The sequence below is a fragment of the Homo sapiens genome, chromosome 1 (assembly GCF_000001405.40).
Source record: "Homo sapiens chromosome 1, GRCh38.p14 Primary Assembly".
Lineage (NCBI taxonomy): Eukaryota > Metazoa > Chordata > Mammalia > Primates > Hominidae > Homo > Homo sapiens.
Window position 1 is genome coordinate 61,375,432 of NC_000001.11, and position 16,358 is coordinate 61,391,789.

The 16,358-nt window shown below is 39.0% G+C and overlaps 1 protein-coding gene across 4 annotated transcripts in view, besides 1 other annotated feature; it reads left to right on the top strand.

The window, feature by feature from the left end:
• The window catches only part of NFIA (nuclear factor I A), a 385,562-nt gene that overhangs the window by 298,205 nt on the left and 70,999 nt on the right, over positions 1–16,358 (top strand). For all 4 annotated transcript variants that reach the window (NM_001145511.2, NM_001145512.2, NM_001134673.4 and 1 more), the window contains one exon: positions 7,806–7,934. In NM_001145511.2, coding sequence (NP_001138983.1) covers positions 7,806–7,934 — 129 coding nt within the window. The remainder of the gene's footprint in view (positions 1–7,805; positions 7,935–16,358) is intronic.
• Positions 13,733–13,933: a silencer, noted in NCBI's record as "peak261 fragment used in MPRA reporter construct". NCBI's record gives its function as "represses an SCP1 promoter by STARR-seq MPRAs in K562 erythroleukemia cells {active_cell/tissue: K562}" and the evidence as "EXISTENCE:reporter gene assay evidence [ECO:0000049][PMID:32103011]".

Genomic DNA, 16,358 nt, shown 5'->3' on the forward strand with positions numbered 1-16,358 from the left:
ACTTGGAATGTTTGCAAGAAGAAACATGTTCAAGTGTCATTAATAGTTCAGATTTAAATCAGCTCATGATAGGTTTGTATTGATAAGATACATAAGTAGTACTCCCCCGCGCCCTCACCCAGAAGTAGGGATCTTGGTAGCATGGTACACTGAAAGGAGCAAGAGCTTTGGTTTCCTGGGTTCAAATCCTGGCTCCTCCACTCACTGATTGTGTAGCCTCTCACCTTCTTAAGGACTGCACTGCCTCAGGCACCCTCTCTTCTCTGAGTCATGGCTTTCTGCCTGTCTGCTGGACCATTCCCATCAGTAGACAAGCATGCTGGACTCTCTCCCACCTTCAGAAAGCTATCCCTTGCTTCCCTCCCTCTTCCTGTAGCCACTACCCTATTTTTCTGCTCTCCTGTGCAGATTCCTCCTTCGTTTCATGGAAGTTGACTACACCATTTCCCCTGTTTCTTCACTTCCCATTGATTTTATAAACCATGCTATCCTGTCTTCTATGTGCCTCACTCTCCTGGAACTCACTTTTCAAGACTGTCAGAAACATTCATGTTGCCAAATCCAGTGGACCCTTTTCTGTCCTCATTATACGTGATCTCTCAGTGGCATTCAACTCAGTTGATTGCAGCCTTCTCCTTGAAACACTTCTTAGTTTCTATAAAGATATACTCTCCAATGAGTTAAATGCCTCAACTTAGTTGCCTGTTTAGATGCTGACTTTAGACACTCGGGGGCCTTCCTTGATTTTTACACATTACTGAATTCTAAATAATTGTGTGTGTGTTATAGCCTCTGGTTAAGTGAGCTATTTATTACTGCATTGTAATATATAGTCTAGGCTTGGACACTATCAACAAGTCTTAAGAGAAGAATTTTTGTCCTTTCTTGTTATAGATAGATAACATGGTTTGCAGGAGGCTTTATAGAAAAAGCAACTTGTTGAATAGGCAAGAGGCCTATAGTAAATATAAAACATTTATATACTCTTTTGCAACTCAACATCTGGGGTCATTATCTTCTTCTAAATCTATGTGATATTTATTTTGTGGAGGTTCTGTGTTAGAATCGCTGATAATTCATTCAGTGTGTGTTTGATAAAATCTTAACTGATCCTTACTAAGGCCAAGAGAAAACTTTGATATATAAGACAAATGATTCCTAGTATACTTCAGAGTGGGTTTTTTTGCATACACTTTTGTATCTGATATACCCTTCCTTTTTTTCCCCCTTTGGATAACCAAATTTAAAACTTCAGCTATAAATATACTTTATTGACTTAAATAGGACACTGTTTTTATAGTATACTAGGGAAACTACATGAGGGTTTTATAAAATGTATGCACTTGAGAACCAGAGAGACCTGGATCTGCAGTACCATCTAATAGCTGTATGATCCTAGACAAATTGTTTAACATCACTTGATATCTAATTTCTGTAATATTAAGTTATTGGTAGAAAAGATAATAATACCTACCTATCTCAGATGAAAATGTAAGGATTTGGGGATGGACACGGTGGCTTATGCCTGTAATCCCAGCACTTTGGGAGGCCAAGGTGGGTGGATCACCTGAGGTCTGGAGTTCGAGACCAGCTTGGCCAACATGGTGAAACCCTGTATCTACTAAAAAAAAAAATACAAAAATTAGCCGGGTATGGTGGCATGTGCCTGTAGACCCAGCTACTCAGGAGGCTGAGGCAGGAGAATTGCTTGAACCAGGGAGGCAGAGGTTGCAGTGAGCCAAGATTGCACCACTGCACTCCAGCCTGGGTAACAGACCGAGACTCCATCTCAAAAAAAAGAAAGAAAGAGAAGAAAATGTAAGGATTTGAGATATTTATAAGTACATGGCACATAGTGGGCACTTCATAATTTGTAGCTTTTATTATTTTCAGCCTGGTTTTTGGACGTGATCGACATGCAGAGATTTAATCTCTGTAGCTGCCTCCTGCCTCTCTTGAGGCCACTTGATGGATGAAGGCTTCCAGTTGCCTTTAAGCCTTTAAGTTTGGTGTAATCGTTGTTCTGGTAATAACAGTTATAAAAATAGGTTGTTGGGAATTAGATGATGACAATGAACAGGACACTATCCAAGTCATGAACAATTAAACTTGTAACATTTTGGGGTCCTCTCTAACCTGCTTATTGTATTGGATTTAAAAACTAAAGTGCTGAGGTTGCTTGCTTTCAGAGTTTCTCTCCGTTTGTGACTATAAATGAACATTATTGAAACTAAACTTTCTATTCTTGACTTTGTCACTTTGAAGAAAAGAACATACACCAGTTATATCTTCTCTGACAACTTGAATTACATCTCCCAAACTCCTGCGACAGACAAGATAAGGTCCTGCTGTCCCGAGCAGCACTTACCAGGGATACTTTTAACAGGAGAATGAATTTTTGGATAGGTGCTCTAACAAAGTAAGCACTAACACTGAGAAGTTACAGTTCCTTTTGAAAAATCCAGCATGTTGTTCGGTTGTCACTGGAATAATTATAGTTTATGGTGATCCTTCCCTTCTCTTCCATTCCCATTAATGTTGTAGCTCCTTTGACTCCTAAAAATCTCCCCTTTAAGAAGATACCTAAGGAAGAAAAAACAGCTTTGTACTTCCTAATGATTCCTGCAGTGTTTCCTTTACTATTGTCACTATGGAGTTCTTGGTCAAAGTGTCTGAAAAATATCATAACTTGGGAGTAGGGGAGAGGTGAAATTAATTATGATTGGTTTTCTTCTTTTTATTTTATGTGATATCAAATTGCAGTGAAAAATTCCCTAAAACAAATTTTAACTTCTTAGGGGAGACCCCAAGAATTTGAGTTTTTTTCCCACGTCACTCAATCTAATTTTGTTATTGATGTTTCTCGAAAGAATCAGGAGAAGTAGAAATTTTCAAAAGTATTTATGTCCCTCGAAAATTACCACTTTTTAGTTCCCTTTCTAAGAATACGTCTTACCGTTTTCTCTAGGTGACTAGGCTAGTGAAAGACTATACAACCTAGGGTGGATTAGGTAAAAATAAGGGAAACTTTCAGAATTATAGAGAGTAATTATTGTACAGTAAACATCTTTAATACACACATGTCTAGCATTGCAGTCGTCTTATATTTGAATATCATGTTTGTTTTCTGTACTGCAGAACAAATTTTCACAGAGTTAGCAACTTGAAGCAACACACAGTTATTAATATTATCTCACAGTTTCCATGGGTCTGGAGCCTGGCCACGGCTGAACTAGATCTTCTGCTTAGGTCATACAAGGCTGCAATGAGAATTTTGTTCAGACTCCATTTCTTTCTGGAGCTCAAGGGCCTGTTGCTGACTCTCGTGATTGTTGGCAGAATTCAGTTGCTTGTGGATGTGGGACTAAGGTCCCTGCTTTCTGAAAGCTGTCAGCAAGGGGCCCCACTCAGCTCCCAGAGGCCCCTGCAGTTCCTTACCATGTGGCTGTCACAGGCCCTTTCACAATATGGCAGCTGACTTCTTCAAAGCCTGAAGAAGAATCTCTCTGACTTCTAATTCCTTTTATACAAGGCTCCCCTGATTAGGTCAGGCCCTCCAGGGATAATATATTTTTCCTTAACTCAAACTCACCTGATTGGGGACCTTAATTATATCTGTAGAAGTCTTTTGCAATATAACATAACCTAATCAATATAATCACCTTTGCGGTATAATATAACCTATTCACAAGAATGACATTTATCATATTCACAAGTATCTCACACATGCAAGAGGAGAGGATTATATAAGGCATCATTATACAAGGCTGGAAACTAGGAAGCCATCTTAGAATTCTGAGTACCACAATTTTTTTTTCAAGATAAGGTCTCTCTCTGTTGCCCAGGCTGGAGTGCAGTGGTATGATGATAGCTTATAAACTCCTGGGTTCATGTGATCCTCCTGCCTCAGCCTTCTGAGTAGCTGGGACTGTAGGCATATACCACCACACTCAGCTAACTTTTTCTTTTTCTTTTTTTTTTTTTTTTTTTTTTTTGAGATGGAATCTTGCTCTGTCAGTAGGCTGGAGTGCAGTAGCATGATCTGGGCTGACTGCAACCTCCGCCTCCCAGGTTCAAGCAATCCTCCTGCCTCCACGTCCTGAGTAGCTGGGACTACAGGCACATGTCACCATGCCCAGCTAAGTTTTGTATTTTTAGTAGAGATGCGGTTTCACCATGTTGGCCAGGATGGTCTCGATCTCTTGACCTTGTGATCTGCCCACCTCAGCCTCCCAAAGTGCTGGGATTACAGGCATGAGCCACCGTGCCTGGCCTCAGCTAACTTTTAAAAATTAATTTTTTGTAGAGATAAGGTCTCACTATATTGTCCAGGCTGCTCTCGAACTCCTGGCCTGAAGCAATCCTCCTGTCTCAGCCTCCCACAGTGCTGAGATTATAGACATGAGCCACCAGCCCAGCCTGACTACCACAAATACCAATGATGAATTTGAAGGAATCTTTGTGAATAGTGCATTTGACCTGTATTTTCAAGGTTTTCTTGTTGAACTTTGCACTTATAAGTGCCTCCAGAGATGAAAGCCACTACATGACTAGAATCCCATATATGTTTGCCCTTGTCTACTGAACACAATTTGGAATGACTCATATAGCTTAGAAAAAAATGGCAGACTAGAGGGAAATTGAAAATTCAAAAATTCTGGATGTTTAGAAAACCAGTGACAAGCCACAGGCCTTCTTGACATGTTTCTCCAATTCTATTTACTCTCATTGGGTTTTTTTATACCAATCAAAAGGATGAAATGCCCCATTGAAACAAAACATTATGCTAGATTTCTGCTTCTCATTCTACAAAAGTCTTTATTTTTCTGCATTGAACTTTGAAGTAACATTTCATTTCCTCCAGAAAAAGAGTAGGATTACTTCATCCGTAGTCTTTTTTTAAAAATCTGGTACTTCTAGAAAATACATTGAAATTAAAGTTTTAATGCATTGAAAGAAAGCCAATCAGTCATTAATCCATACAGTAATTTTGTAACAGTTGTGCATAAATAATTGGCAAAAGAGATTTTAAAAAGGAGTTTATTTTTAAAGTAATGTACAGAACCAAATTTGATTTCAAAAATAAAAGCCAACATTAATGTTTTCTAGCTTTTAACAGAAAGCAGTTTACTAGCATTTTGGAATTTCATCTGGTCAATTAAATATACAAAACAAATTAACCAAAACATACATTATGTATGTAGAGAAAATATTAAAGTATATAATAAGGAAATGTGCTCAATACGAACTCTTTAAAAATTGAAAACACAAAGTAATTTTGAGATTCATGACAGCCTTAGGGTTCATATTACTTGACTGTGATAAATTTAGAAGATTATACATAGTTTGGCTGGTTGTTCCTGCATGCTGACGGTATTTCTTCCGTCTTTAACCCTTGCAAAGAAGATTTAAATTTTGCTATTTTTGAACTTGTTTACCAACTTGGTCATTCTTGATACTTGTTATTGCCCAAATTTTACTTGTAATTCCTTTTAGAAGCATAAATAGTGGATTTCAATCATGTCAATATTTCTGCAGTATTTAGAATGGCATGAATTAGAAAACATGAATTTTTCAAAGAAATCATAACTTTTTCTTGAGTCCAGCCATTTGCTATCATCAATAAGATTAGTTAGGATACTGGATTTCATCAGTGATTCCATTATCTGAAAAAAAAAAAAAAATCTGCCACCTTTAAAGTTTTGATTTTTGTTTTAATTATCTGTTCTGCTTCTGTTTTATGACATGTAGTTCAGGCATTGGACTAAATTTAAATCAGTGGAATGGTTGGCAGCCTATAAATTGGTCTACACAAAAAGGTTTAAATGAGTTGGGAGATTTGTTTACATTTTGCTAGCTTTTTATTTCTTTCATTTTTTTTATTTGAAATCTCCTCCTTAGTGGAATTACATGATGATAACCTTAGGTTAGGTTATCTTACAGTGAATGTTCACCCAAAATCTCAGTGCATCCTACATTAGAACTTTGGTATGGTGTGACTGGTTACTGATTCAGCAAGCAACAAATATAACTAAAGTCACTTAATTACTTCATTTTTAATTCAAATCACATGGATGTTGATCTAGAAAGGATCTGATTCAAATTGTCAAATTAGTATGAAATCACATACCACTCTATGTTGTACTTATATCTGACTATGCAAATGTGTTTACCAATTTTCAATTTTTCTTTCTTGGGGTGAAAATTCTAAGCTTTGCTATGTTTAAGCATCTATTCATGAAGCTACAGATAAAGCTGAGACCTGCACAAGTAGTTTAAATATCTTTTCAGACCATTTGGGTGTTTCAGACCCTTGGAGGTCTTGGACATAGAGGGGAACAAAGCAGACAAGGACTCTGTCCTTATACAGTCTGAGTCACACTCAAAGGTCATGTTGTAGAATTGCATTAAGGAAATCTGTGATCAGAAATAACAGGGACATATTTAGATACACGCAAAACTAGCTAAATTTCTGGAAAGATCTATACCTATAAAGTGCTTGGCACAGTACATGGTACTCCATAACAGTTACATGTTAATATCATTATGATTTTTATTACTTTTCCAGTTCATCCAAATAATTCTCTGGTCATGGGCAGAACACAGCACATGTAAACATGTATAAGTAAAATGGAATTTGGTTCTTTTAACATCAGTGCAGACCAGTTTTGTGCTACAACCTTAAGAGAGCCCAAATTTGTCCCCTGATGCGGAGACTAGGAGTCATTTCTTTTATTTTTATATCCAAATTTTCATTGTTTTAATTGGCACCCTATCAAACTGATAGATGCCTCCAGTTGGGTATGTCAGCGTGGTTGCCGAGAACATTACAAATCCAGTAATTACAAGGAACTGTTTCTCCATTATTTTCTTCCCAAAGCATTTTCTATGCTGGAAATGCTGTGAAAACTTTAGACACAATAATAAAAGTACTATTTTTAAAAACAAGCTTTTATTGTATTAACATGAAAGCAATATATGTTCATCATAGAAAAGACAGGTAAGCAAAACAAAGGCAATGAAAATCACCCAAATTCAATACAGAGAGAGAACTACCATTATAGTTTATGCATATTGCCTTCCAGTTCTTTCTCTGTGCATAGAAATAGCCTTTTCAATGGTGTCATAGTATAACATCCTATTTTGTAATTGCCTTTTTCAATTAACATTATATTATAAATGTTTTGCCACATCATTACTCTTTTACAGTATTGCTTACATTGGTTATACCATACTTATTTAACCAGTCCCCAATTGTAGGGCATTTAAGATTTTTTTACTTTTCTTTTTTCTTTTTTTCTATTCTAAAGAATTCATTGAATGAACAACTAAGTTGCCATTGTTGAGGGTATTCTTATGTTAAAACAGCCAAATTATTTAAAATATGGAGAAAGTGATTTGGTGTCAAAGCAAGGTAACCAACAAGATGAAACGATTGCATGTGAAGTCTTCATAAGCATACATGGTTTCCTTTTTGGGAGTCACAGAGGTCACAGACACAAGCAGCAACTTTTAGGAAACACTGGAAAAGTTGAACCCTGTATTATTATTGAAGACCAATAACCCAAAAATGGACTGTGATTAATTAGAATAAATTGAAATCAAATACAGACCGACTTATCAGGGGACTATTCTGTCACCTCTTTGTTTCTGTGACAAATGCAAAGCAATTCACAACATCTTTTTCATTCACAGGTGGATTTCTCTTTTTGTTTGTTTTTAATTCTTTAAATGTTATCTTTTAGGTTGCACAAATCATTGTTCCATGAATTAAAGTGTACTTACCAGTTGATCCTTCTTGCCAGGAATGCCATCTCCAACCACACTGAAGAAGTCGGAGAAGTCTGGTTTCAGCAGCCCCTCCCCTTCACAGACCTCCTCCCTGGGAACGGCGTTCACACAGCATCACCGACCTGTCATTACAGGACCCAGAGGTGAGCTGCTCCACAGGCACCCTTGGTTGTGCTTATATCATGGCCTTTGGACCCAAGTAGCAAAATGAGAAACAATGAGGACTCCCCCTGAACACTCGTGAGGCAGTGAGTGTTCCAATTTCTTACCCTTGGGGGCAGCCTTGGAATTTTAGAGACCAAAGAGATTTGGCATCACATTTTTTGTCCTTTCCTAAGGCAAAAAGAGACCAAATCTGTTTTTTGTTGGCCAGTGAGATTTTTGCAGAAAGATGGGAAGTAACTTGAATTGAACCAAAATCAAATCTGTTCTACAAGTTGTGTGTGTGTGTGTGTGAGAGAGAGAGACAGAATGTGTGTGTGTGTGCGCACATGCGCGTGCACACATGCATGCATTGGGTGAGTATATTTCCATGTGGTCAATTACCTGTTTTCAAGTAGTAGCTTTTTCTCATCCCTGCTGACTCTCTTTCCATAAAACCTGATTTCAATATGTGGCATTTTGTGTTGAGGTTGTTTGCATCAGGGTGTTGACGAGCAGTCTTCATTCACTCCTTTTGAAGTGGTAGATAGTTTGTCTGGTTTTCATTGCAATGTTTTCATTATTTTTGTCTCATATGCTTTTAAGTTTATTATTAAAATGTGTCCACGAGAAATATGATTTGTATTTCGCATTAAAGACAAGCCTTAAGCCTCAAGAGAATGTCAGCAAATCACTTAACTTGATCTTATTGCAAGATAAAAATATTTATTATTTTGTTTATGAAACTCCCACAGTAGAAGTATGAATAATTGTAGCCATGTTTGCTTTCCTTTATCAGATTTTCTTTTAGGTAGGTCTGTGACCTACCAGCTGGTTTCATAAAACATCCTAGAAAATTATGATCTCTTGTCTGCTTTGACATATACCTGGGGAAACTGATGTTTCTTGCATTAATCTCAATGTTAGCCCCACCAATCTGAATCCCTTTATGAATGTGCTCTGTGTGCATCTCAGGGAAATGTGGCAGGTAAGAGGGCTGTCCGGTGCACACATGGGAGTCATATTGAAGAAAGTAAGCATTTTGACCACTGTGGGAATGAAACTTACTTGTTTCATCTTTAAACATCTTGTGATCATTGGTAGAACTTTCTCAAGATCCCTTCTTTCATTTGTGTATTATGTGTGGTATAATCAGAGAGGCTTACTATCGATATATAATTTGAAAACCTGCATCAGAATTAGATTATAAGGTCCCAGAATGAGGCTTATTAAATAGTATTAAGATATTATCCTCATAGTTAACACTCATTGAGCATATAAACTGTAGTGGGGGATCAGAGATATGAAGCCCTTTTAGTCAGAATATTTATGGCCTGAAGGAGATGAGGCATGTGTTGTTTTTCATCTGTTTGGGGTCAAGTTAACATATTCTAAATGCTAACTGAATGGTAAAAGTTCCTGCAGGAGCTCAGTATTGGGGGGACCGTGGAGGTTCATTCACTCTTTAAACAAGGATTTACTGAGTGCCTCTATAGACACTGGGACCAGTGGTTCCTGTCCTCATAGAGCATGTTATCTACTGCAGAAGAGAGGCACACAAGGAAATAAGCAAGTAAAAGATGATGGGCCGGGCACAGTGGCTCACGCCTGTAATCCTAGCACTTTCTGAGGCCAAGGCGGGCAGATCACTTGAGCTCAGGAATTCAAGATCAGCCTGGCCAACATGGTGAAACCCCATCTCTACTAAAAATACAAAAAAAAATTAGCCAGGTGTGGTGGCACATGCCTGTAAATCCCAGCTACCTGTGAGGCTGAGGCAGGAGAATCACTTGAACCCAGGAGGCAGAGGCTGCAGTGAGCCAAGATGGTGCCACTGCACTCCAGCCTGGGCAACAGAGCAAGACTCCATCTCAAAAAAAAAAGAGACTTCAAAGTATAAATAACATTGAAGTCAAATCTTAAAAGATGCTTAGATAAATGGAGGGCCATCCTAAGCAAAGGAAAGATTTGTGGTGTAGTAAGTTAGTAAGAACTGAGAAGAACAGTATGCCAGCAATCAGGAGAGCTGGGTAGGCTCCCTCTTTTCCTTCCCACTCACCTTCTGGGTTTTTTAATGTCCTCATCAATATAGTGGGTACAATACTAATAATGACCATTTCCTCCCAATCTTGTATTCTTATACAGAAACAACAATAAAACAGTATTTGTGGAGATTCCATGAAGAGCATAATGCAATCTGTATATATTATCATTAGTCAGTAAATATTAAGAGTGTCTAATGTGTGTCTTGCCTTAAAACTGTAGTTCTAGAAATTACTGTCATGGGCACTTCCCTATGGGTACAGGTTGAGAGCTTGTTCATGCTAGATGACTAAGCACATTTTCTAAAATGACCCACGCTGGGTTGAACCAGAGTGGACCTCCTTAGCTCACAGCATAACAAGTTGCAATCTATTCATATTCATTCATAAAACTGTGTTTGAGGAAAAGAGAAAGATGCCTAGTGTAAGAATTATGGAATACCAAAGATTCTTTGTTTTCACCAGAATTCAAGATGGCTCCCAGCATCCTCGGCTCTCCTTTCTGGAAAGTCTACTCAGGTACCCGTTCTTACCGTGTCCCACCCCGCTTAGTGGTCTGGTGAAGGGAATTGGAGTAGTTGAGATGAAACTTCAGTTGCCTCTTTGTGGTAAGAATCATAAGAATTGAGATAGGCTAACGTAAGACATTTTTCTGGCTAAGACATTTTTAAAAGGTTGGAATTCAGCCTCATTATTTATTTGCTGTGGGTACTGTAATTTCCTTCATTTCTCTCTGAACTAGTTGGAAAGCTAATGCTTGGAATGATACCACATTTGGGAGTAAGACGTGGTGTTTTAGGAAGATGAGGCCAAAATTGAGGAGGAAGAGTATAGCTGCAAGAGTCAGTGTGGAATCGATGTCACATGTGCGCATAAAGGAGATTTCAACCTCTGACACTCCTTGTATTGGGCAAAGTTGCCACAACCCAAAATAGTAAATTATTAGATAATCCAGAGAATCAAACTTTAAAAGGATCTTGAAGAAAAGAAAAGAATGTCCTTTATCAGGTCCCCAGGGCATGGGGCAGGGATCACGGAGGCCATTGACTGCTCTCTGGTTAGCACTAGGTTGTGAGGCTTCTGCTGCCTTCCCTAGCATTTATCACGGGAATGCTTCAACTAGACTAGCACCAGTTAGTAAGCAATAACTGTCCAACACACATCCACGCTCAGAATGGAGATGAGATTTTACAGAGCTACAGCAAATCAAGGTCACCTCACTAAAAACACAAGGGCCTTACTTTTGGCTGCAAACATAAGCTACATTTGGAAATTTCACAGCCACCTTTTACAAAGAAAATCTCTCTCTTAAGATTGCAAAGCAAAGGGAGAAACACAGGGCGTTGAAGGGAGGTAGCGTAGCACAGCGGTTGTCCTTGTCTGTTTTGACTGCCAGAACAGAACACCATAGACTGGGTGGTCTATAAACAACAGAAATGTATTGCTCACAGTTCTAGAGGCTGGAAGTCCAAGATTAAGGCTCTGGCAGCTTCTGTGTCTGGTGAGGGCCCACTTCCTGGTTCATAGATGGCATCTTCTTGCTGTGTCCTCACATGGCAGAAGGGGTGGGGTCGCTCTCTAGTGTCTCTTTCTTAAAAGCACTAATCCTATTCATGAGGGCCCCACCCTGTGACCTAATCACCTCCCAAAGGCCCTGCTACCTATTACCATCACATTGGGGGTTAGGATTTCAAGATATGGATCCTAGAGGGCCACAGACATTCAGCCTATAGCAGTGGTTAAGCACAAAATCTCAGGGGGTCAGATAGGCTGGTGTCTGAATCTCTGTCCACTACTTGGCACATTGCTTTTCTCTCTGAACCAAAGGTTTCTCATCTCTAAGTTAGAGATTATCATCTCTAACTCAAAAGAATTGTATTATGTTAGGAGCAAAGGAAATAATGTATTTGTAGTCATTTGCACAGTGCCTGGAAGTACAGTATGCACGTGGGTCATACAATTAAATAATCCTTTTTCACCCAGGCTTTGAAAGTATCATGCTGTCCCTATTGCCTTCGCCCAGCAACATTCTGCCCATCCCCCAGATCAGCTCAAGCACTTTCTTTTTTTTTTTTTTTTTTTTTTTGAGACGGAGTCTCGTCAAGCAGTACTTTCAAAGTGAAACCTCCTCTCCTCCACCCAGCTTGCCATCATCTCACACTGCTTAAGCTCCTGCTGCCTTTCATGTCTGCACATTGACTCCACCAACCTCATCTGGCCTTGTTAGTTAATCTACATGTCTCCTGGAGGAGAACCTCCAAAGGGAAGGATCTCTAACTTAGACATTTCACTATCTTTGTTGTGCCTCACACAGTGGGTTTTATGCTCAAATATTGGTTGAATGAATAAAAGTAGTCAAATTGCATATAAATGCACACAGGAGACATTTATCCCCTCTCTGACCCTGATGAGTTTTCATTTCTTCAGATAAATGTGTGATAGTTCATGCAGTACTTCCTTGTAAGAAATGTCCAAGACATGGAAGAACCATGGCGTTGCATCCAAAGAAAACCTATGCAAGATTCTCTAAGTAGAGCTTTGCTATTAAGAGCTATGGGCTTTCTTTATGTTGTTCTAACCACTTCCCTATTTATAGTGTAAAGGTAGAGACATGTGGTTTCTTAAAATGAATCCCCTCTCTGATAGTGGCTTTCTTTATGGCTTTGATAAATCACTTAACCTTGTCGCCTCAGTTTGGCCATCTGTACCATGGGGACAATACTTTACCACCTGTTTCTCTGTGTGGTTAGAATTAGGTAAAGAGGTTATTTGGGAATATCCTATCGATAGGGGGAAGATATTAAATTTCAGTAGAGGCATTTGTACATCGTTATACGTTAGTATAATTACTGTGCACTTTAAGCTGAAAGATTGAGCTTTCAAAGACTTTCTTTTACCACTACTTAAAATTGTAACCATAGTAAAGTATTTACTCATGACTATTTGTCTTATTCATGATAATTGAAAAAAGAAATCTTTCTTCATCCCTTTGCCTTTTCAAGAATTGTAAGTTTGCCTGGTTGATGATCTGAAGGGTCTAACTTGTTAGAGAATTATTTAGAGTAATCATCAGTTACATCTTAAAGTTTCTTGAAGGTTTAGATCTTCTTGAAACTTATCTTTTTGCTTAAAATCTTTGCTGTTTTGAAGATTAAGAAGATAGTGAATGATACTTTATTTAAATACTCTGCACTAAGTAAAACAATTCTGTGCCTTAGAGATTTAGGAACAGAGAGCAGCCTACACGATCCACATTGGGCAGCACAATTGAAAGTAATTGAAAGAGTTATGGTCTGGGAATCTTTTGGTATAATGTGTTCCCAGTATCAGTGAAGATTGTTTTTGGCTGAAAGTAACAGAATATCTGACTGAACAATGGCTTAAGAAAATAAGGAGTCACATTTTTCTCATACAAAAACAAGTATGTGGCTAGGTATGGTGACTCACACTTGTAATCCCAGCACTTCAGGAGGCTGAGGCAGGAAGCACTTGAGGCCAGGGGTTTGAGACCAGCCTGAGCAACACAGCAAGACCCTATCTCTACAAAAACTTTTTAAAATTAGGAGAGCATAGTGGTAGAGACCTGTGGTCCTAGATACTCGGGAGGCTGAGGTGGGAGGATTGCTTGAGCCCAGGAATTTGAGGCTGCAGTGAGCTATGACGGCACTCCAGCCTGAGCAACAGAGAAAGACCCTGTCTCAAAACAACAACAACAAAAAAAAGCAAGTATGTGATTCAAGGCTGATAGGGTGGCACTTGCAGTGCCATCAGGGATTGAGATTTCTTCTCCTAGACATGTTTCAGTGGGTTGTTTTTATGAGGTCACAGCATGGGCGCTGCCCCCTGCCTTATGTCTGCATGCCAAGCAGAAAGAAGGGAAAAGGTGAAGGCAAAAAGGACCTGTCAGCTTATCCTGCCACTTTTTCATAGGATCTTCTGCAGCACAATCAGACTGTGTCCCATGATCACCTGTAGCTGCAAGGGAGGCTGGAAACTCCAAATTTTTAGCTGAGCATATGGCCACTCTCTATAAAATTAAGCTTTTATCAGTGGGTAAATAAGGGATAAATATGCTGGTTGACAGTTAGCAACATATTCCCCATTATTTTTACAGATGAGAAATCTGAGCTAGCCAGAACCAAGACCAGAAATCAAGTCTCTAGTTCAGTGCCTTTTTTGCCATATCAGTAGTTTCTACCTTTTTCTCCCCCGACTGGGAGAAATTAACTGCATTTATTTAAACAATTACTTTGTTTTCACATTTTTTATGAGTCAAAGTCATAACATATCCATCTAGATCTTTTGATAATCATAATATAACCTGTGCCATCACACTGAGTTTTTTTTTTTTAATAGCAGCCATAAACAAATCACTTAGCCTTTTTTATTAGTCCATAAGTCCTTGCTACTGGTAAATTTGTGGTTTCTCTTAGGTGCACGCCACTTTAGAGACAGTTTTTGAGGTCAGTTTGGCTTTTTTCAATATTGTATTAGTTTGCAGATACCTATTACTATCTGGGGACCCATTAATTTTTTTCCACAAATATTTATCAGGCTCTTACAGTGTACAAGATGCTCTAGTAGTAGAGTGAACAAGAGAAGCATGGATTCTGTCCTTTGAGTGCTTGCCTCCTGGAGGACGAGAGGACAAGGAAACCAGCAGTTGCACTGCTGTGCTAGAAGCACAGGGTGCGGTAGAAAATGAGGGGAAGGACATCCTTGTGGACAACTACAGTGGCATCTGGCACTACGCAAGTCCAGACACACAGGAGACCCAACCGCTATTGTCAAACAGTTTGCCTTCGCATTATGGGCATGGAAAACAGAACAACAGCAAATAAATCATGCTCTTAGATAACTAAGTACCAAAGAATTCAGACATACGAAATGCAAACATGAGGTTAAACCCCCACCTCTTTATGAGTCAAAAAAAAAAATACACGATGGGAGTTTAGAAGTAAAATTGCCTGGATTCTGAAAATACGCCTAAGATACACTAAAGCAATCACCATATAAACCAAAGATTTATTGTGCAGCTTTCAAAGAATCATTCCAGTTTCTGTTTGGAGAGGTAGTCAGAAGTTTATATGCTCTATAAACCTCTCTAAGTCCATGATCCTCCTGGCCCAAATAGGGATCTTGCTCTCAGTGATGAAACATCTGAAGGTCTGAAGTTAACAATATCTCCCAGTTTGGCCAAGAAAAATATACTGCAGAGAATTATGAGAATTAAGATCACCTTTCAGGAAGTTGGGGTCACCAAGAAAGGTTAGAGGAGTGTGGATTCATAATAGGCATAGACAATAATAGAGGAGCGGGGAAGGAGAGGTAAAATAGGAGGGTGACAGTCATCACTAGATGGCAGGGCCTATTAGGGCAAGGACCACACCTTTATCATTTATCTCTGAATCCCTCCGCCTTGTGCCCGGCATAAGGAAAGCACTCAATAAATAATTGTCAAATAAATGAATGAATGAATGCATGGATTTGATTGAAGAAACAGAAAGTTTGAGAATAATAGGAAGTTCTTTCCTTCTCCACTGTGTAGTAGTATAATATTCAAATGCATATATTCAGCAGCACGTAGAAAGAGGCATGGCATGTTTAAGTGCTCAGTATATATTTGATTTGTTTGTTTATTTGTTTGTTTGTTTGTTTGTTTGTTTGTTTTGAGACAGGGTCTCTCTCTCTGACACCCAGGCTGGAGTGCAGTGACTTGATCACAGCTCACTGCAGCCTCGACCTCCTAGGCTCAAGGGATCCTCCTGCCTCAGCATTCCAAGTGGCTGGGACTACAGGCGCATGCCACTATGCCTAGCTAATTTTTAAAATTTTTTTGTAGAGACAGGGTCTCACTGTGTTACCTAGGCTGGTCTCGAACTCCTGGCTCAAGCAATCCTCCTGCTTCAACCTTCCAAAGTGCTGGGATTACAACAGCAAATAAGTTATGCCCTTAGATAACTAAGTACTGAGGATTTAAGACATACAAAATGCGAACACAAGGTTAAACCCCACTTCTTTATGAATCAAACACACACACACACACACACACACACACACACACACACACACACACACACACAGGCAGTTTAGAAGTAAAATTGCCTTGATTCTGGCAGGCGTGTGCCACCATGCCCAGCCTAATATATGTTTGGTTTTAATTAAGATCTACCTTGATAGACCTTAAGAGAAATGAGCTCAAAATTATTTGGTCCCCTATTTGTAGAATATTTCCTGTGGCATTTTAAGTTTTTCTCTCCAAACTAAGGTCCCTCCAGAAAGAACGTCCCCTGGCGTTTCACTACTACTGTAATTGTGGCACCCCCTCCCCTGGCCTAGGCCCCCAAGTGCTAGGTTTGTTCATCTTTCTCCTATCACATCCAC